Here is a 21365-nt window from a genome sequence, read left to right as displayed (position 1 = left end):
GTACCTTTAAAAGTATTTTATTATGTTTATTATTCAGCACAGCTTTGTTAATATTTTTACTAGGATTTGTATTGTTTTTGTAGTACTGTGGTTACAGAGTTGCATAGGTTTTAAGTGTCTGTTCCGGACTGAATTTTCCTTAAGCCATGTTATTTTTAATGGGTGGTTTTAAGAACACGAGGTTTTTTTCAGGGACATAAATATCATGTTATATAGCAAACGTGTCTTTTCATTTAGATCCCCCAAATGCCACTTGAATCTGCTACTTCTTCATCCCCATTGCCATTGACATCATTGTGCTACCATTTATTTCTCAGGTGGGCTATTTTGATAGCCCACATAATACTTTTTTCTTTTTGCCTGTGGTTTCTTCCTTCATTCTGCCTTACCTATTGCCATGAGAGTTTTTCTTTGGATGAGGAAATCTTATGTCAATGCTTTCATTTGAAAGTCAAGGCTACGTCTTTGAGAATTAAAAATCTAAACTGTTTTGCATGACAGTCGGGCTCTGACCCTTATTTCTAGCCATCCTTATGCTGTAACTGGTTCAAACTGCTGCTTTCTCAGATTCCTTATCCTTTTTCACTTATTGATGCCTTTGTACTCTTTCTTCTGTTGGCAATGTCTCTCCCCTTTCTCTGTCTGGCAAACGTCAAGATCCACAGTGGCATTGTGTGAAAATGTTCCCAACTCTCCCAGGCAGTTAATGGCCATTTGTAAGTAACTTTCACTGTAGTACATTCCATATTTCATTATGTTTAATTGCCTGCCCTCCTAAACTGTTGGCTCCTCGAGGGCAGTGGATGCATTTTTTTTTTCATCTTTGTAAATCTAATCCCTGTTGTGGTATCTGTCACTTAATGCAGAGGTGCAATGGAGCTAAGTTATATTAGTCATCTAGGACTAGGGAGACCTTTGCAAGTCCTGTGGATAAGTGTTTAGAAAACCCCCAGTGTGTTAGGCACAAATAGGAGAGCTACCAGAAAGGAAACTGCTATTGATTGTAAAAGAGATCTTTTATGCTTCAAAATTCTTGTTACATATCTGAGTAGAGACTTATATGTCAGGTTGTTACTTTCAATAAGTAAACATTTTCATAAATAAAGGAAACTCAAAATTTATGAACAGTGTTTACCTTTGTTTACCTAAGCTGATTTATTGTAACCTTTTTTTGTTGCTGTTCTGGAGATTCTAGAACAGCTAATAAAGTGTTAGTGCAAGTCTACATCTTTGATATCCTTCACTTAGCAAACATTTAATGTTCACTTACTAGATATATCAAACATAGTTTCAGGTATAAAGATGAATGAAAAAAAGATACAGCCCCAGAAACTGTGGAGGGAAATATTATAGTAAGTGCTTCAGTAGCGCTACTATGAAGTGCTAGATTTCTTCTGGCTACTCTGCTTGTCCAGTTTGAACTTAACATGTAGCAGCTGTTTTGGTATTTTATTATTCATTCTCGTCACATTACTCATAGAGTTGTATAATGTCAAGTAATTGTTCAAGTGCTGAAAGAATACTATAATTTTTTTGTTGATTACATTGCTTATCAGTAAATTTAATTTGATATTATGAGAAGTAACATGATATGGTAGAGCAAGATTGGGCTATGGAATTGGAAGGCCTGTTTTGGAGTACTCTAAATTAAAAAAAAGTTATATTTGTAAAATAACCACCACAAGATTGCCTGATTCACAGTTCTTCTGAGTATTGGCGTAGGTAATTATTTAAGATGTTTGATAAATTGTAAAATGCTTTTTACATTTTTTAAGGAATCAATTGAACTACTGGAAACCAGTATGTAGTATTCTTGGCAGGTCTAGGTTTCATAATCCTAATTTCTTTGCAGCCCACTATTCAGAAATGTAGTGATTAACAGAGTCAAGAATGTTTCAGGATATTTTTGGCTACAAGTAACAATACCTAACTAAAAGTGACTTAAATAATAAGCAGTTTGTTATTTCACAGAATGAGAAGCTCAGAGCCAGAGAGTTACAGGGTTGGTTCAGCAGTTCAGTTTCATCAAGAACATAAGACTTGCTTACTTTAAAGCTCCTCTGCATGTCAGCAGAGGGCTGCCCCAATTTTAGATACCAACATCTGGCCAAAGAAGAGCAGGGAATGCTTCTTTAAGTACTTATTAGGGAGCAAAACTTCCTTAAAAGTCTCATAGGAGGTTTTTCCTTAGGTCTCATTGTATCTCAATGGCTCTTGCATACTAGAAAAAGGCCACATTCCTTACTCTGGCATTTAAGTTTTTATAACCTGGCCCTAGGTTACTTTCCATCACCAGAGTCTAGGCCATATGATAGTAAAAACAACCTCATCAGTATTTTATTAGGTACTCTGAATAATGGTCCCAGATTACTGATGGGATCTTAAATAGTAAAAGCTGTATCTGGCTTCTGATGTTATACTGACCTCTTCCCTCACCAGTACATAGCTATCCCCTCATGTTGTCATTCTCCTCACCAAAAATTTTGTCTAGTTACTGTAACCAAAATTCTACTTCCTCTCTGAAGGTTATCGTCTCCCCGAAGCTCTTTCAAGCGGAGCATAGCTGTTCATTTTAGGTTAGGGGTAATTAGGAGTTGTTGGCATTGTTTTAGATCATGAGTTGGAAAACTCTTTCTGCAAAGGACCAGATAATAAATATTTGAGGCTTGGGAGCCATACAGTCTGTTGCACCATTTCAACTCTGCCATTGTAGTGTGAAGCAGCTATAGACAGTACATAAATGAATGAGTGTGGCAGTATGCCAATAAAACTTTACAAACGCATGTTCACATAGTTTCTTAATATATATGATACCAAAACCACAAGCAATGAAAGAAAAAAAAGGTAAATTGTATATCATCAAAATTAACAAATCTAAGCTTCAAAAGACAAGAAAATAAGACAATTCTCAGAAAGGGGGAGTTTCTCAAAATCGTTATCTGATAAGAAATTTCTATTCAGGATATATAAACAATTCTTATAACTCAGCAATAAAAAGACAACTCAATTTAAAAGTGGGCAAAGGTTCTGAGTAGGTATTTCTCCAGAGAAGATATGAAGATGTCAGTAGTGCATGCAAAGATGCTCAACATCATTAGTCATTAGAGAATTGCAAATCAAAATGTCGAGATAGCACTTCACACCCACTAGGATTGTTATAATCAAAAAAGACTGATAAGTATTGTCAAGGATGTGGAGAAACTGGAACCCTCAAACCTTGCTGGTGGGAATGTAAATGTTTATAACTGCATTAGAAAATAATTCCTCAAAATGTCAAACATAGAGTTACCATATGACCTAGTAATTCCATTCCTGGGTATATACCTAAAAGAAATGAAACATGTGAAATGAAGTGAAAAACTTGGACATGAATGTTCATAATAACATTATTCATAATGGCCAAAAATGGAAACAGTCCAAATGTTTATTAACTGATGAATCGATAAATATGGTATGTTCATACGAATGAAATGTTCATTAGTAAAAAGAAGTGTGTTGATACTTGTTACAACACATTAGATTAACCTTGAAAATACTCGACTAAGTAGCCAGTCATACAGGATCATATATTGTATAATTTCATTTGTATTTAATATCCAGAATAGGCAAATATGTAGAGCCAGAAAGTAGATTTGTGATTACTTAGGGCTGGCCTGAGGGGGAGTTGGGGAATGACTGCCAGTAGATACAGGCTTTTGTGGGTAATAAATATGCTCTAAATTTGATTGTGGTGATGGCTGCACAATGGTTTGAATGTACTAAAACCATTGAGTTGTATACTTTAGATGGATGGTTTGTGTGGTATATAAATTATATTTCAATAAAGCGGTAATAAAACAAAACAGGTGGTAGGCTTATTGACCAGCAAGCCAAAGCTTGCTGACCCATAATAGATTATTCTTCATTTTCCTGCTAAGCCATTCTTTATCTGTTCTCATTGCTAACTCAAATCTTTCTCGTTACTCAATTTTTCATTCAAAATTTAAGTACTTGTCTCACATTTTCCCTCTGTGTTCCACCATCAGGTTACATCTTTATGGACATTCTAGCCTTAGTGTTTGTTGACCACCTCCATTTTACTAACCTTTAGTTTTCTCTCTACTTCAGCTATTTCCTATGGCCATAGTCAATATGGTATCTTATCATTATCTGAACTGTCCCATTGCTAGGACTTTATTTCTTGTTTTGAGATTACTTTCTCAATTATAATTATTGAAAATGCCATACATATATCATTTTCTGGTTTTTGAGGGGGTTATTATATATGTTTTTAAATTAGAAAGTAGTACCAAATTATTGTTGCTACCTGCAGGAAGTTGTTGGAAAGTTTCCATGTAATAGTATTTCACGTTTTTCATCCATTTTACTCCTCAGCTGTCTTCACCTGACACCCTCTCACTGTCGTGTTTCTGCGATTGTGACTGCTGTTTTAGATATATGGAAGACATTTAAAATTGCTATGCCAGTGTGAGTTGGCAGTAACAAGCCACTTGAATTTAAGTGTTCTAAGATGAGAAGAAAATGGCTGTAATAACTTCTTGCTCCTCTTGCATAATACAGAATGGCTGCGGCTTTATGATATGTTGGTAAGAATGTTATGGGATTTATATTAGCTTGAGTTCAAATTTGGTCTCTACCACTACCCAGCTGCGTGACCTTGTGCAAGCTGCTTAAGCTTCTTTTTTTTTTTTTGGACGGAGTCTCACTCTGTTCCCCAGGCTGGAGTGCAGTGGCACAATCTCGGCTCACTGCAAGTTCCGCCTCCCAGGTTCACGCCATTCTCCTGCCTTAGCCTCCCGAGTAGCTGGGACTACAGGTGTCTACCACCATGCCCGACTAATTTTTTTTATTTTTACTAGAGACGGGGTTTCACCGTGTTAGCCAGGATGGTCTTGATCTCCTGACCTCGTGATCTGCTGGCCTCGGCCTCCCAAAGTGCTGGGATTACAGGCGTGAGCCACCGTGCCCGGCCTTAAGCTTCTTTATAACCTCTGTTTACCCAGGGGATTGTTTGGGAGGATAAATGAGATAATGTATGTAAAGTCTCTAATAGAGTGCTCAGCATGTAAATGTTATTTCTCTGTTTTTTTTGTATTCAGTAAATGTTAACTTTCTTTTTTCCATCCCTGTTTATAGTCACAGAGTTAACTTTTAACTTTTAAGGATTACTTTCTAGATCCATTAGTTTCTACCTACAAAAAAAATTTTGAAACTTGATAAAGCAACATTTATTCTATGTTCAGTTTGAAAAAAGTCATTGAAATGTAAATTAGTTTATCTGAGGTATCTGAAGGATTTTAGAACTTAAAGAATAGTAGAAAAGAAATTCCATGGTTAGAAGAAAACCAGAAGAAAAAAGCTATCAGATTTTTTTTGTTTGTAGACTTAAAAAAAAAATTACTGCGATTTGGGAAATACACCTTTGGGAGTGAGGTGTTAATTTTGAATATTTGGATTTATTAATTGATTGCTTACAGTGTACTAAGCAGTTTGTAAAATATTATTTTTACATTTTGGGACATAATACTCAGTATTTCGAGAATTTGCCTAAATATTGGAAGTCTCATTCCTAGAAAAATTGAGGTTGGCATGCAGAGGAAGATCCACTTGCAAGTGAACTATATCTGAAGCTAAAACTCCAGTTGTTCTGGAGTCAATATATTTTCCCAAAGAAATAAAAGGGATTTACTTAATAATTACTTATAAAAGCATATTTAATGATAATTCAAAGATATTTATTATTTTCTCTGTATCATGAACTGAAGAGTAAACAAAACATGCAAGTGCTTTGCTGTCATGGAGCTTAAAGTATAGTGAGTTAATGAGAAACTGATGCCATGTGTGGAAACATCTCTTTGCATTTAATTTAGGTCTTAGTTAAGATAGAATCTTGTCTCATTCGTAGCCAAAGTAATTGTGTGGTAACTGAGGAAATATTTTTCTACAAGAGAGAGACTCAGAATAATGTGGTCTGCTTTTGTGTGAATAAGAAATAAGAAAGAAAGAATAAGCAAATAAGAAAGTGTTTGTGATTGTATATTATAGTAGATTATAGTAGATAGTAGCCTGGCTAGGATATCTTTGTGATATGTATTACAGGATAATATTATTATAGAAATATAATAGAGACCAGGTGTGGTGGCTCAAGCCTATAATCCCAGCATTTTGGGAGGCTGAGGTGGGTGGATCACCTGAGATCAAGTGTTGGAGACCAGCCTGGCCAATATGGCAAAACCTCATCTCTATTGAAAATACAAAAATTAGCTGGGCAAAGTGGTGCATGCCTGTAATCCCAGCTACTCGAGAGGCTGAGGCAGGAGAATTGCTTGAACCTGTGAGGTGGAGATTGCAGTGAGCTGAGATCGTGCCACTGCACTCCAGCCTGGGTGACAGAGCAAGACTCTGTCTCAAAAACAACAACAACAACAACAACAAAAACACTGTAATAGAATATTAGGACAAATAGAGTAGATCCATAGTCTACTGGTTCTGTTGCTGTATGAGTTTTCTTTTTCTTTGATACATTTCTCTTTCAGTTCTTTACATGTTGATACTCCCTAATGGCAAAATCTAAATAAGATTTTTTTTTTTTGAGACAAGAGTCTCACTCTGTTGCGCAGGCTGGAGTGCAGTGGTGTGATCTTGGCTCACTGCAACCTCCACCTCCCAGGTTCGAGTGATTCTCCTGTGTCAGCCTACCGAGTGGCTGGGGTTACAGATGCTTGCCATCACGCCTGGCTAATTTTTGTGTGTGTGTATATATATATACACACACACACACACACACACACACACACACACACACACACATATATACATATACAATATGTATATAATATGTATATACATATACGTATATATGTATTTATATATGTATATATATATACATATATATGTGTGTGTGTGTGTATATATATATATATATTTTTTTTTTTTTAGTAGATACGGGTATTCCCATGTTGTCCTGGCTGGTCTTGAACTCCTGACCTCAGGTGATCTGCCCGCCTTGGCCTCCCAAAGTGCTGGGATTACAGGCATGAGCCACGGCGCCCAGCCTAAATAAGATCTTAAGATTAGATTGGCAATTTTCAGAGTGGTTCATGGATACTTGGGGATCCCCAGGACACTTTCTAGGGAGCACATGAGGTCAAAATTGTTTTCATAATAACACTAAAACATTACCTGTCTTGACTGTTTATATTTATACTGATGGTGCAAAAGCAATCATTAGTAAAACTTGATGGTACCTTAGCATGAATCAAAACAGAAGCACCCTACTTTACTAGAAGTTGTTTTCTTTATTACTGTGTACTTGCAATTTTAAAAAACACCACTTTTGCTTAAGAATATCACTGATAAAGCAATATTTTGTTAAATCTCAACCAATAACTACACGTATTTTAAATATCTCCATGATAAAATGATAAAAGTGTAAAGCACTACTTGTACATGTGAAATTGTAATAGTAGTTTTGAGGAAAAACAAGCACTTGTGTGATTTGTAAGCTGAACTAGCTGCTTTTTTTCATAGAATACCAAAACTACTAGCGAGAACAACTAATAAAATCTATTATTCACACTTGAGTATTTGGCACACATTTTCTCAAAAATGAACAAGCTTGTGTCACTCAAAGAAAAAACTGACGTACATGAAACAGGAAAAAAAAAAGAAAGAAAACTTCAGCAAAGAAATAGAAGACATAAAGAAAGACCAAATAGTAATTTTAGAACTGAAAAATATAATAAACAATACAGTAGCCCAGTGAGTAGGCTTAATAGCAAATAGACCAGACTGAGGAAAGATCAGTGAACTAGCAGGCAGAAGTAGTTACCCAGTCTGAACAACAGTAAACAGACTGAAAAAAAAAATGTGCAGAGCCTCAGGGAACCATGAGTCTATAAAAAGATTTAACACTTGTGTCGTTAGAGTCACAGAAGGAGAGGAAGAGAGAGGGCAGGATTGAAAAAGTACTTAAGGAAATAATGGCTGAAAATTTTGCGAATTTGGCAAAAGACATTAAGCTACAGTTTTAAAAAGCCAAGTGAATGTTCAACAGGATAAACCTGTAGACATCCAGACCAGGATATCTCAAAGTAAAACTTATAAAAACAAGACAAGTCTTGAAATCAGCACGAGAGAAATTACACTTCATGTAGATGTGGAAAACAGTTCAAATGATAGCAGGTTTCTAATCAGAAGGAAATTTCACATTTTTCAAGTGCTGAAAGAAAAGGACTGTCAACTCAGAAACCTGTATCTAGAGAAAACACCCTTCTGGAATGAAAGGGAAATCAAGACATATGAAGGAAAATGAAGAGAGTATGTCACCAGCAGACTTACCCTAGAAAGATAACAAAAGACATTCTGAAAACAGAAGGGTATGATGAAAGAATCTTGGAACATCAGGAAAGAGGAAGGAACAATTCAAAGTGTAAAAGTACGGGTAAATACAATAGACATTCTCCTTTTGAGTTTTTAAATTATGTTTGAGTGTTGAAGCAAAAATTACAATACTGATGTGGTTCTAAAGGTATGTAGAGGAAATATTTAAGATAGCTGTAAGCAGGGAGAGGGTAAAATGATGATACCAATGAGATTGTGAAAAGTTATCTGTGTAATGTACATAGAGCAACCACTAAGGAAGCTCTACAGATACATGCAAAAGCATTATAGATAAATCAAAATGGAATTTAAAAAATGTTTAACCCACCAGGAGACAGGATAAAGAAAACAGAAATGAAGGCCGGGCATGGTGGCTTACGCCTGTAATCCCAGCACTTTGGAAGGTTGAGGCATGTGGATTGCCTGAGCTCAGGAGTTTGAGACCAGCCTGGGCAACATGGTGAAACCTGTCTCAACCAAAAATACAAAAAATTAGCTGGGCACGGTGGCGAGTGCTTGTGGTCCCAGCTACTCAGGAGGCTGAGATGGGGGCATTGCTTAAGCCTGGGAGGTGGAGAATGCAGTGAGCCAAGATTGTGCCGCTACGCTCCAGAGTGACAGCCTGTCTCCAAATATATATGTGTGTGTGTGTGTGTGTGTGTGTGTGTGTGTGTGTGTATGTGTGTATATATACACACACACATATATACACACATACACACACATATATATACACATATACACACACACCCGTATATATATATACACACATACATACACACACACACACACACCAATTAAACATACTGGCAGAATCAATTAAAGACATTACCCAATCATATGATTTCTGTAAGAAATTTACTTTAAATGTAACAATATAGGCATGTTGAAAGTAAAAGGAAGGAGAAAGATGTATCATGCAAACATTAATCCAAAGAAAGCAGGTATGGTTATATTTAATATTAGATAAAGTAGACCTCATAACAAAGCAGTTACCAGAGACAGTGACTAGGCATTATATGATAAAAGGGTTAATCAATCCACTAAGAAGACATAGCAGTTTTAAATGTGTTAGCAGTAGAACTGCAAAATATATGAAAAAAGACTGATGGAACTAAAAAGAGAAATACACAAGTCCAAAATTATAATTGGAGACGTCAACACCTATTTCTCAATAAATGGTGGAGTAACCAAGCAAGAAAATCAGCAAGGATATAGAAAGATACTCAACATATGTAATCAACCAGTGCTATGTAATTTATAGAATGCTTCATCTTTTCAAGTGACCAGAGAACATATACCAAGGAAAGTTATGTCCTGGGCCATAAAAGTAAACCTCATTTGGGCATGGTGGTTCATGCCTATAATCCTAAATGCTTGGGGTGGCTAAGGTGGGAGGATTGCATGAGGCCAGGAGTTTGAGACGAGCCTGGGCAATGTAGCAAGACTCAGTCTCCATGAAAAAAAAAAAATAATTAGCTGAGCATGATGGCATATGCCTGTAGTTGAGTGGATGAGGTGGGAGAGGATCACTTGAGCCCAGGAATTTGAGGCTGCAGTGAGCCATGTCATGCCACTACACTCAAGCTGAGTGACAGTGAGACCCTGTCTCAGAAAACCCCCCAGAAAACATAAACACATTTTAAGGAATTGAAATCAAAGAATGTGTTCTCCTACCAAAGTGGAATCAAACTAGAAATCAATAATAGATACCTGGAAAATCTCTAAACACTTCCAAATAATCTATGAGTGAAAGAGGAAGTCTCAAGGGAAATTTTAAAAAATACATTGAGCTTCATGAAAATAAGAATACAACATACCAAAGTTGTGGGATACAACTAAAGCAGTTTAGAGAGGGAAATTTATACCACTAAATGCACACATTTGAGAAGAGGAAAAGAAAAGCCCCCTCAAATCAATAATCTAAGCTCCCACTTCAAGAACCTAGAAAAAAAGATGAGAAAAATCTACCTGAAGCAAGCAGAAGGAAGGAAATAGTAAATGAAATAAAAAACAGAAACAATAGAGAAAAACCCTTTGAAACAAAAAGCTCATTCTTCAAAAACATCAGTAAGACTGACAAGTAATAAGACACAAATTACCATTATCAGGAATGAAATAGGGGACATCACTGTAGACCCTGCAGATGTGAAAAAAGATAAGGGGTTACTATGACCAATTTTATATACATAAATTTGACAACTTTGAAGTAATGAACCAGTTCCTTAAACACAAACTATCACACCTCTTCCAGTGTGAAATAGAATTTGAGTAGCCCTGTTTCCTTGATACCAAAATCCAAAAAAGATAACTATGGACCAACATCCTCATGTCAGTGTAGATGCAGAAATCCTTAAAACATTAACAAATAGAGTTAATATTTTTAAAAGATTATACACCATAATCAGTTATGGTGGTTTTATGGGTGCAAGGCTGGTTCACTATTTGAAACTTAGTCTGTATAATTATATTAATAGACTAAAGAATAAAACCCAAGACAAAACAAAAACTTAGAAAAATATAGAGGGAAATGTTATCAGTTGAATAAAGAACATCTGTGAAAACCTACAGCTGACATTATACTTAATGGCAAAAGACAGTACTTTCTCTGTAAGATCTGTAACAAAGCAAGGATTTCTGCCCTTTTTAGCGTAGTGCTGAAAGTTCTAGTCAGTGCAGTAATGCAGGAAAAGAATATAAAGGCATACAGATTGGAAAGAAGAAAAACGGATCCCGTTTGCAGATGGTATGACTATCTACATAGAAAATTTTCAAGAAATCTACAAAAAATAAAAGTACTAATGAATAAGTTCGGCGAAATTGTGCACAATACAAGATAAACACAAAAATTGTTGTTAACATTAAATAGTAGAAGGAAAAACAGGAATGGGGGTAATTTAGGTGTCATTTAATAGGAAATATAGTTTAACTGTCAAAGTGAGTAATAGGATCTTTAAAATAGTTAAACATATTATGTGCCTTCAAACATTTGCTGGATGGATTCACTCAAGTTATAGATTGTAATTATGGCAGCATTTATCAGACTAGAAATTTTAAGGTTTTTTTTTTTTCCCTCCTAAAATCATTAAAGAAGCTTGGATCTGTCATAGGTATGATTGGTTTTTATCTCTTGTTTCTGTCTTTTGATCTTTTCTGTCCCCGACATTCATGCATCCAAACACCTTTTGCTTTGTATTTAAGAATAAGGAGAATCTGTTCTAGAACAGTTACTAAGATGGTCAGTGACTTTACCCTAGAAAAAATTAATTTCATTATGATAATTACATTAATTGTGCAGTCATCAAGCTTTCAGCAGGTAAAGACATTTAGATTGATTCCTAAGATAACTTACTTTTCAAGTTCATGTTATTCAACATTTTTAAAAAATATTCTATTACGATTGTCAGTTTTGGGATCAGATCTGTAGGAATCAGGAAAATAAAGAAATTTTCTGGCAAAGAAATGAAAAAACTTGGTTCTCTTTGGTTTAGAGTTACTTTGATCTTAAAGTGACAAGGTTTGAAAGAATAAAAATAAACTTTATAGATGCATTCTGTAAAGCTTTGAATATTTCAGAGAATATGCAGTCAGAATATTTAGACATCTTTATCTAGTAGAGTTTAAGAGATGACAACATTTCCTTATTTGGTTATAGACTCTTTGTGAACTATAAATATTACTTCAGTATTAGAGTACTGTTTGCTTATTTAAAATGTATGCAGATCCAAATGCTTAATACTCATTATAAAAAGTGAGCATCAAAAGGAAAGAGAAAATCTAAAGTGCTTGAATAACTGGACTTTTAAGAATTCGGGTCTTCTAATGCCCTTAATCTAACCTTGTACTTTAACGCATTGATGCTTAAATTAGGACTTAAACCGTTCCAGACTTTTACCATGCACCTAATCAAATTCTTCCTTTAAAGTAAATTTAGGACAATGTTAAATCTGGCAAAGGATATCAAAAGATAGTAAGACAGTTGGTGCCTTCATGGAGTTTAAAATCAGGGAAGGAGACTAAGGGATGAATTATAAATGTCAAGATTACTGTAAGTGTAAATAGTTTTTGGTGTCTCATGATTCTGTAAGATTAATCTGGAAAATGTTATTTGCTATGAATACATTACCTTGAAATGTGTCTTATAAAAATAAATCCATATAGTTTGAATTTTGAATAATATGACAGCTGTGAAACTTTATTGTTTTAAAGAAAGTGATGAGATTGTTTCTAAACTGGAGACTAAAATTATGTATTAAGCAATTCCATTATATTTGGGACTAAGGTCCTTAATATTTTGAGTTATAAAAATCAGCTTTATTGAGGTACAACTTACCTATGGTAAAAACTAACTAGTTTTAAGTGCATAGTTAATGTGCCTTGATAAATGTATATAGTTTTGTAATCACCACAGTCAAGATGTAGAATAGGTCTATCACCCTGAAATGTTACCTGGTACCCTTTTGTGTTCACTCCCTGTTCTCCCCCTCTACCCCACAACACCTTAACTTTCAGTTACTGTAGTTTGTTTTTTTGTAGCATTTATAAATGGAACCATACAGCACATAGCTTTTTGTGTCTGGTTTCTTTTACTTAGCATATTGCTTTTGAGATTCATTATGTTATTGGGTGTATTAGTAGTCTTTTCCTATTCATTACCGAATAGTACTCCATTGTCTGGATATAACAGTTTATCTGTTCACCAGTTGAAGACATTTAGGTTGTTTCCAGATTGGTCTATTAAGAATAAAGCTGAATAAAGCTGCTGTGGACATGTGAGTACAGATTTCTGTGTGGACATGTTTTCATTTCTGGTTACACTAAGAGTCCAACACACTGTTTTTTTGAAATAGCGGTACAATTTTGAGTTCCCACTAGCAAGATATAAAATTTTCATTTGCTCTACATCTTCACCAACACTTTGGTATGTCAGTGTTTTTATTTTTAGCCGCATACACTATAAGTTTGGATATTAGTTTTCTGTTGCTGTGTAACAAATTCCCATAAACATAGTAGTCTAAAACAGCACTCATTTATTATTTCATAGTTCTGCAAATCAGAAGCTCACCACTGCATGACTGGGTTCCCTTCAGAGTATCACAAGGCTGAAATCAAGATGCCATCCAGACCAAGTTCTCCTGTGGAGGTTCTGGGGAAGTCTGCTTTCCAAGCTGTTCACGTTATTGGCAGAATTCAGCTCTTTGCCCTTATGAGATTGAGCACTCTGTTTCCTTGCTCCTGTTCACTAGAGGTCACTCTTATCCCCGTCAGGCTGCCTGCATTCAATGCCATGTGGCCTCTCCACTTCCCTTGTGTTGAATTCCTCTCCTGCTTTGACTCTTTCATTTTCACCTTCTTAGACCACACAGGGAAAATTGCTTTTAAAGGGCTCTTACAGGTCAGGGCCACCTGGATAAATCTTATCCAGAGGTGGTTGATTTGGGACCTTAATTACATGTGCAAAATCCTTCTGCAGCAGTAACTAGATGAGTGTTTGATTTAGTAATTGGGAGAAAAAGTATGTATACAAGGGGTTCAGAATTTCAAAGGGCTACCTAAGAATTCTGTTCACCACATAATCATTTATTCCACATCTTCAGTTACACTTTGTGTGTCCATTTTTAAATTATAGCCATATTTATTATGCCAGTTGCCTGTATAGTAATATCTCACTTTGGTTTTAACTTGCATTTCTCTAATGTCTAGTGATATTAAATGTCTTTTCATGTGTTTATTTGATGTTAATCATATCTTTTGTTGTGAAATATCTATTCAAGTCTTCATGTCATTTTTTTTAAATTGCATATTGCTATTCAGTTGTTGTAGCATCATTTGTTGCAAAGATTTTTTTTCCCCATTTAATTACCTGGAAACCTTTCTTGAAAATTGTGTGTGTGTGTTTACTTTATTCTGTCCAATTGATATTTGTCTGTTCTTACACCAGTACCACTCTTTTGATGACTAGCTTTATAACTTTTTTTTTTTTTTTCCTGAGACGAGTCTTGCTCTGCTGCCGAGGCTGGAGTGCAGTGGCGTGATTTCAGCTCACTGCAACCTCTGCTTCCCAGGTTCAAGTGATTCTCCTGCCTCAGCTTCCCGAGTAGCTGGGATTGCAGGCGCCTGCCACCACGCCCGGCTAGTTTTTTTTGTATTTTCAGTAGAGACAGGGTTTCACCATGTTGGTCAGGCTGGTTTCAAACTCCTGACCTCAAGTGATCCACTCGCCTCGGCCTCCCAAAGTGCTGGGATTACAGGCATGAGCTACCGCACCCAGCCCTTCATAACTCTTTAAGTCAGATATTGTTAAGTCCTTCACCATTGTTGTTTTTCATTCAGATCCCTTGGCTGTTAGGTTCTTTGCATCTCCATATGAATTTTAGAATTAGTTTATTGATTTCTATAAAATATTCTGCTGGGATTTTTATTAGGATTGTCTTCTATATGCAGATCATTATGGGAAGAATTGCCATCTTAACAACATTGAGCCTTCTGATCTATGAACAAATATAGCTGGGTTTTCTTAGATCTCTTTCTTAGCTATGTCTTATAGTCTTCATGTGTACTCCCTGCACATCTCTTATTAACTGTTTCTAAGTATTTTGTATTTTTGATGATTTTGTAAATGGAACTGCATTCTTAATTTCATTTTCCATGTTTCCAGAATATGAAATATATTTAACTTTTGTATATTGACCTTTTATCTTGCCGTCTTGCTTAATTCATTTATTAGTTTTGATAGCTTTTTAGTAATTTGCTTAGGATTTATGTACATACACAATTATGTCATCTGCAACGAAAGGCAGTTTATTCCTTTCCAATCTGTATACCTTTTGTTTTTTTTTTTTTTTGTCTTCCCTTTTGTATTTGTGCAGATGTCTTTATCTTGTTCTAATCTTAGGGAGAATCTTATTACATATGACACTTTTTGAAGAATTTTTGTAGATAACCTTTTATAGATAGAGAAATAGTCCTAGTTTGCTGAGTTACTCTTGTTTTATCAAAAATGGATGTTGCAATTTGTCAGATGCTTTTATTGCGTCTGTTTGGTTGGCCATGTGGTTTTTTTCTTTTTTTTTCCTCTGTTAATGTTGTGAATCACGTTGGTTTTGAATATTAAACCAACCTTCCATTGCTGGAATAATCCTCAGTCATGGTGTTTATTTTTGGATTCAATTTGCTAAGATATTTTTAAGGATTTTTACATTATTGGTCATAGAGAAACATTAGATATAGTTTTCTTTTGTTGTTGTTGTTGTTTTGAGACAGAGTCTCGCACTGTTGCCTAGGCTAGAGTGTAGTGGCGTGATCTCAGCTCACTGCAACTTCCACCTCCCAGGTTCAAGCGATTCTTCTGCCTCAGCGTCCCAAGTAGCTGGGATTGTACAGGTGCCTACCATCATGCTCAGCTGATTTTTGTATTCTTAGTAGAGATGGGTTTCAACATGTTGGCCAGGCTGGTCTTGAACTCCTGACCTTAAGTGATACTCCTGCCTCAGCCCCCCAAGTGTTAGGATTATAGGCGTGAGCCACCGCGCCCGGCCATAGTTTTCTTTTTTTGTGATACTGTCTGATTTTGGCATCACAGTAGTGCTGGCTTCATAAAATGAGTTCAGGACAGTACCCTTCCTTTCTGCTTTCTGAAATAATTTGTGTAGGATTGGTATGTTTTTGGATTTCATCTTTCTGATGAATTGGCTCTTTTTTAGCATTATGAAATGTATAATTCTCAAAATGTTTGCTTTTAAATCTGCCTTCTTACTATTTACTTTCTTTTTTTTCTCATTTGCTTTTTCTTTGTACCTATTTGTCTGCCTTTCATGGGATTGAGTATTCTTTCTGATTGTATTAGTCAGGTTTCTCCAGAGAAATAACCAGTAGGAGATACATATGTCTAGAAAGAGATTTATTATATGATATTGCCTCACATGATTATGGAGGCTAAGAAGTTCTGTTCCTGCTGTCTTTAAGTTAGAGACCCAGGAAAGCTGGTGCTGTAGCTTGAAGGCCTGAGAGCTGAAGAACTGATGGTATAAATTCTAGTCTGAGTCTGAAGGCCTGAGAACCAGGGGCATTGAGGTAAGGAAAAGCTTGACTTTGCAGCTCAGGCAGTGAGGCAGAGAACTAATTCAATCTTCTGCCTTTTTGTTCTATTTAGGTGCTGGACAGATGGATGTTATCCAATCAGTTTTACTTAGTTCACCAGTTCAGATGCTAATCTCTTCCACAAACAGCCTAGCTGACTCTCACTCAGAAATAATGTTTAGCTGGATATCTGAGCATCCCTTGGCCCAGTTAGGTTGACACAAAATTAACCATCACAATGATACCATTTTATTTCGTCTCCTTTTTTAAGTTGTTCTAGAGTTTACAATATACATCTTTAATATACCATGCTGTACCTTCAAATAATGATACAGTGTTTCTCTTACAGTGTAAGATCCTGACAACAGCATACATCCATTTTTTCTCTACCCTTTTGTGCTGTTGTCATATGTTCACTTTATATACCCCACAACATGTTATCTTTGCTTTTAAAAGTCATATTTTAAAGACATTTAAACATGAGAAAAATATCTTTTATTTTATTTTATTTACCATTTCTGATATTTTTCATTTCTTTGTCTAGATCCAGCTTTCCATCTGGTATCATTTTTCTTCTGCCTGAAGAATTTTCTTTTGACTTTTTTTTTGTAGTGAACATATATTGAAGCCTAATCTTTCCTTTCAGTTTTTGTTATCTGGAAAAAGCATTTGCCATAATATTTGAAAGATATTTTTGCTGGATATAAAAACTGATAGTTTTTTTTTTTTAAACACTTTAAACAGATTCCATTGTTTCCTGTCCTTGGTGTATCTAAGGAGAAATATGCTGTAGTAATTATGTTGTATGTATGTAGTTTATCTTTTTTCCCCTCTGATTATATTTAAGATTTTCTGTGTCACAGCAATTTATTATGTGGCTTTTTTTTTTCCATGTTTCTTCTACTTAGAGTTCATTGAACTTCTTGAATTTGGGGATTTAAAGTTTTCATCAAATTTGGAAGATTTGGGGCCATTATTTCTTTAAACAGCATATAAAACGTTTTATTGATGTGAAATTCACATAACAAAGTCATTTTAAAAGTGAACAGTTCAGTGACATTTGTTTATTTATTTATTTACAAAGTCTTGCTTGGTTGCCCAGGCTGGAGTGCAGTGGTGTGCTCAAGGCTCACTGCACCCTTGACCTATCAGGCTCAAGCAGTTATCCCATATCACCCTCCTGAGTAGCCGAGACTACAGGCATATGCTAACATGCCTGGCTCGTGTTTTTGTTTTTATTTTTGAGGTGGAGTCTCGCTCTGTTGCCCAGGCTGGAGTGCAGTGGTGCAATCTCTGCTCACTGCAGCCTCCACCTTCAGGTTCAAGAGATTCTCTTGCCTCAGCCTCTCGAGTAGCTGGGATTACAGGCACCCGCCACCATGCCCAGCTAATTTTTGTATTTTTTGTAGAGACAGATTTCACCATGTTGACCAGGCTGGTCTTGAACTCCTGACCTCAAGTGATCTGCCTGCCTCGGCCTCCCAATGTGGTGGGATTACAGGCGTGAGCCACCATGCCTGGCCTTTTTTGTATTTTTTGTAGAGACAGTGTTTTGCCATGTTGCCCAGGCTGGCATTTATAATGTAGTACAACCACCACCTCTATGTCATTCGAAAATATTTTCATCACCCTAAAAGGAAACCCCATAGCCAAAAAGTAATTGTTCACCATTCCTCCTCCCCCAGCAACTGGCACCCACCAGTCTCTACATTCTGTTTCTGTGTAACTGGCACCCACCAGTCTCTACATTTTGTTTCTGTGTATTTTCTTTATCAGTATATTTCATATAAATGGAATCATAAAATGTGGCCTTTTGTTTTTGGCTTCTTTTACTTACCATGATTTTGAAGTTCATCCATTTTATAGCGTCCTATTATGTTTTATATTGGATGTCATACATACATTGTGAATCTTATGCTGTTGTGCTAGATTTTGTTTTATTCCTTTAAAGAACGTAAGAGTTTGTTTTGCCATCCACTTAAGTTACTGAGACCCAAATTTGATCTGAGATTTGTTTTCTATCTTTCTTAAGGTAAGTAAAGAACAGCCTTTAATTCATGGCCAATATAGTCGTTCTGAGGACTGGACCCAATTCCCTGTGTATTTACAAGTTTCTCCAGTTTGGCCCATGGGATCATGAACTATTCCTAGCTCTGTGCAAACTCCCAAAAGTTATTCAACCTGCTACTAGTTCTTTTCCTGGACTTGGGGAGTTTCCTCTCAAACTTATGCAGAGACTGGAGGAGACTTTTATGCAGATCTCCAAAGTTCTCTCATGTGTCTCCCTTTTCTGAAGTACTCTTCCTCACAAGTCTCACCTCCTTGGCCATACGAACTTCATGTATCTCTGACTTCTCAATTTGGCGATGTCTCGGGATTGTGTTTCTGTTCTCTGTTCCTGTGCTGCAACCTGGAAACTTTCTCCAGACAGTAAGCTGGGACATAGATCCTAAGGGCTTTACCTCTTTTGTTTTCTTATATAGATGATCACAGAAAATGCCTGATAAATGTTGTTTGATAAAATTTTTCTGATTTACTAGTTTTTTTTAACACTGGTCAAGTGGTTCATATAGCATTTCTCCCCCATGGGCAGATGTTACTGAATTTTTAAATCAGTATAGTGTAAGGGGAGTCTATCTTGAACTTCAGGCAAATGGATTTATTTAAGGACCTCATCAACAAGTGATCTTGTCAGTAACTTGGTCATGTGGCATGATGTTTGAATTCTTCAAGTGTTCTTATGTAAACTTAAAACATGTTAGCTTTAGGACTTTTTTCATATTTAGATATAATTTTATGGTTTTGTTTAGTTGAGTGGTTCTCTTAGAAGTAAATGTCAGTACCTTATTGGGTATGTCTCTCACAGTATCTATCATTATTTTAGTATTTCCCAACCCTAGACTGGAGCTATTGGCTACAAATTCACTGCAGAATTAATTTACCTTCAGAAATGCTATTTTTTCCAGTTAAGTCTGATATAATAATTTACAAACTGATGTGTATTTTTTGTTAAATGTAATTATGCATTAGGTTCAGGGATCAATAAACTATAGCCCACACACCAAACCTGAATGAAACAATTACTGATAAATGTAATACTCCCAGGTAGTAGCTTAAGAAGCTGAACGTGAGGGGGTGTGGAGAGGAGTATAAAGGGGAATCTCCAAAACTCCTGTTTTTACTAATGACTAAGCATGAGGAAGACTGAACGTGGAACAAAATTATATTGACCATATTGACAAAATTATCTTTATATTGCCATGTTTTGCTTTGGTTTCCTTTTTTAAATGGAAGGTAGACTATGAAGACATTCTTGCTGTGAAAGTTCAAACAATACAGAATTTGAAGTAAAAAGTGGGGAGTGTAGGATAGAGATGGTGGTGCTGTTTGGGAGAGTGACTACAGAGATACGAGTTCTCTTAATTAAAGGACTTTACTTAGCTTTCTAAAGAGTGTTGGTTTTTATTCTGAAGGCAGGTGGGAGCTATTGAATTTTAGCAGAGATGTGATGTGGTCAGTTTGGGACAGATTGTGGTTGCAGTAGTGTTTTGGATATATGCATTCCAAGTTTAGGAGCAAGACGAGTTATTCTTTGTTAATGGGAAAGTCCTTAGGAGCCCTGGACTGGTTGGTTCTTAGGTCTTGTGGACGTTGTCTAGTTGGGAATGATACAGATAAATAGGTGAGATAGATGGTATCATTTAGAAAGAATTGATAACACTGTAAAGGTCAGTGAACTGGAGAAACAAGGACCTGGTTTTAAAATCCTGCTTGAAACCACCACATAACACTTTTTTACCTTCACTTATAAAACAGTAATGATACTTATTTAAAAAAAAAAAAACTCACAGTGACAGTGCAAATTTTAGTAAATAAAATACCGGTATGCTCTTGAGAGTCTTGCAAGAAACATACTTAACTTTAAGGTGGAGTGGAATAAGGAAAAAAAAACATTAAAAAAATTAAGACAGCAAGAATATGTAAGGCAGTGAAGATAAGAATCATGGTAAGAATATTAAGATCAATTAAGTAATGTGCAAAGTAAGCAGAAATCCATCTCTGTTCATTAATATCAAGCTTTATTAATGTTTGCTTTCTTTTATCCTCACTTTAACATATTTGATATTTAAAGTGACCTAATATTAAATTAACCAGTTCTGGAAAATTGCAATTATCTGCTATAACTTGCAAGAAAAAGACTAGCTATTGGCAATATGTCAGTTAATTGAATGTGGTAATTTACTGATTAGCCTTTAAGTTTACATAAGATTAAAGGTACGTTGAGGAGTTTAAAAGCCAGCCAGTCATACTAAAAAAAAGAATTCAGGTTTTCAGTAGCTTCTGAAGATATATATTTAAATATGCCCATGTTAATTGTACACTTAAATTAATAGCAACTGTATACTTACTGCTATTTAATTGCTAGGCAGGGTCAAGGTTAGATAAATAGAATATAGGATGCTTCGTATTCAATTTACCACTGAACTTTAAAAACTTAATTTATATTACTTTAAATTCTGTAGACGTTTTTAAAGACCTTAATGATTCTACCTCTGAGTCTGTTATACTACTTGAGATATTACTGTTTTAGATTTAGAAGTACTTTCGATTCCACTGCTAATCAAATGGTGTGATCTTCCAGCAGATATTTGACCTCCCTGGTCCCAGTTCTCAAGAGTTGTTAAATGTAGGCACTGACCCAGGTCTCTAGTTTTTCTAGAACACTTTTTTTCTTAAATATATTTCACATAAAATCCTAGTATAGAAAATTGATAGTTCTACTTTTTTTATATATAAATTAGGAGCTCAGATAAATTATGTTAAGTTAGGGTCTATTCATGAAATAAGACTTTGTATGAAAAGAAAAATTTGAAATGGTTTTCAAGTGGCTGGCTGTCAAGTTA

General features: G+C 35.6%; 1 protein-coding gene across 1 annotated transcript in view, besides 2 other annotated features; it reads left to right on the top strand.

The window, feature by feature from the left end:
• PPP3R1 (protein phosphatase 3 regulatory subunit B, alpha) overlaps positions 1 to 21365 on the top strand; it is a 73676-nt gene that overhangs the window by 13499 nt on the left and 38812 nt on the right. The gene's annotated exons all lie outside the window — the stretch shown is intronic.
• Positions 8509 to 8678: an enhancer, noted in NCBI's record as "experimental_59182 CRE fragment used in MPRA reporter constructs". NCBI's record gives its function as "activates a minimal promoter by MPRAs in K562 erythroleukemia cells, with activity observed for both the introgressed and non-introgressed 2:68457573 variant alleles {active_cell/tissue: K562}" and the evidence as "EXISTENCE:reporter gene assay evidence [ECO:0000049][PMID:34662402]".
• Positions 19146 to 19315: an enhancer, noted in NCBI's record as "experimental_59162 CRE fragment used in MPRA reporter constructs". NCBI's record gives its function as "activates a minimal promoter by MPRAs in K562 erythroleukemia cells, with activity observed for the introgressed 2:68446936 variant allele {active_cell/tissue: K562}" and the evidence as "EXISTENCE:reporter gene assay evidence [ECO:0000049][PMID:34662402]".

The sequence above is a fragment of the Homo sapiens genome, chromosome 2, assembly GCF_000001405.40.
Source record: "Homo sapiens chromosome 2, GRCh38.p14 Primary Assembly".
Lineage (NCBI taxonomy): Eukaryota > Metazoa > Chordata > Mammalia > Primates > Hominidae > Homo > Homo sapiens.
Note: the sequence above shows the minus strand (reverse complement) of the source record. Positions and strands in the feature narration are given on the sequence as shown.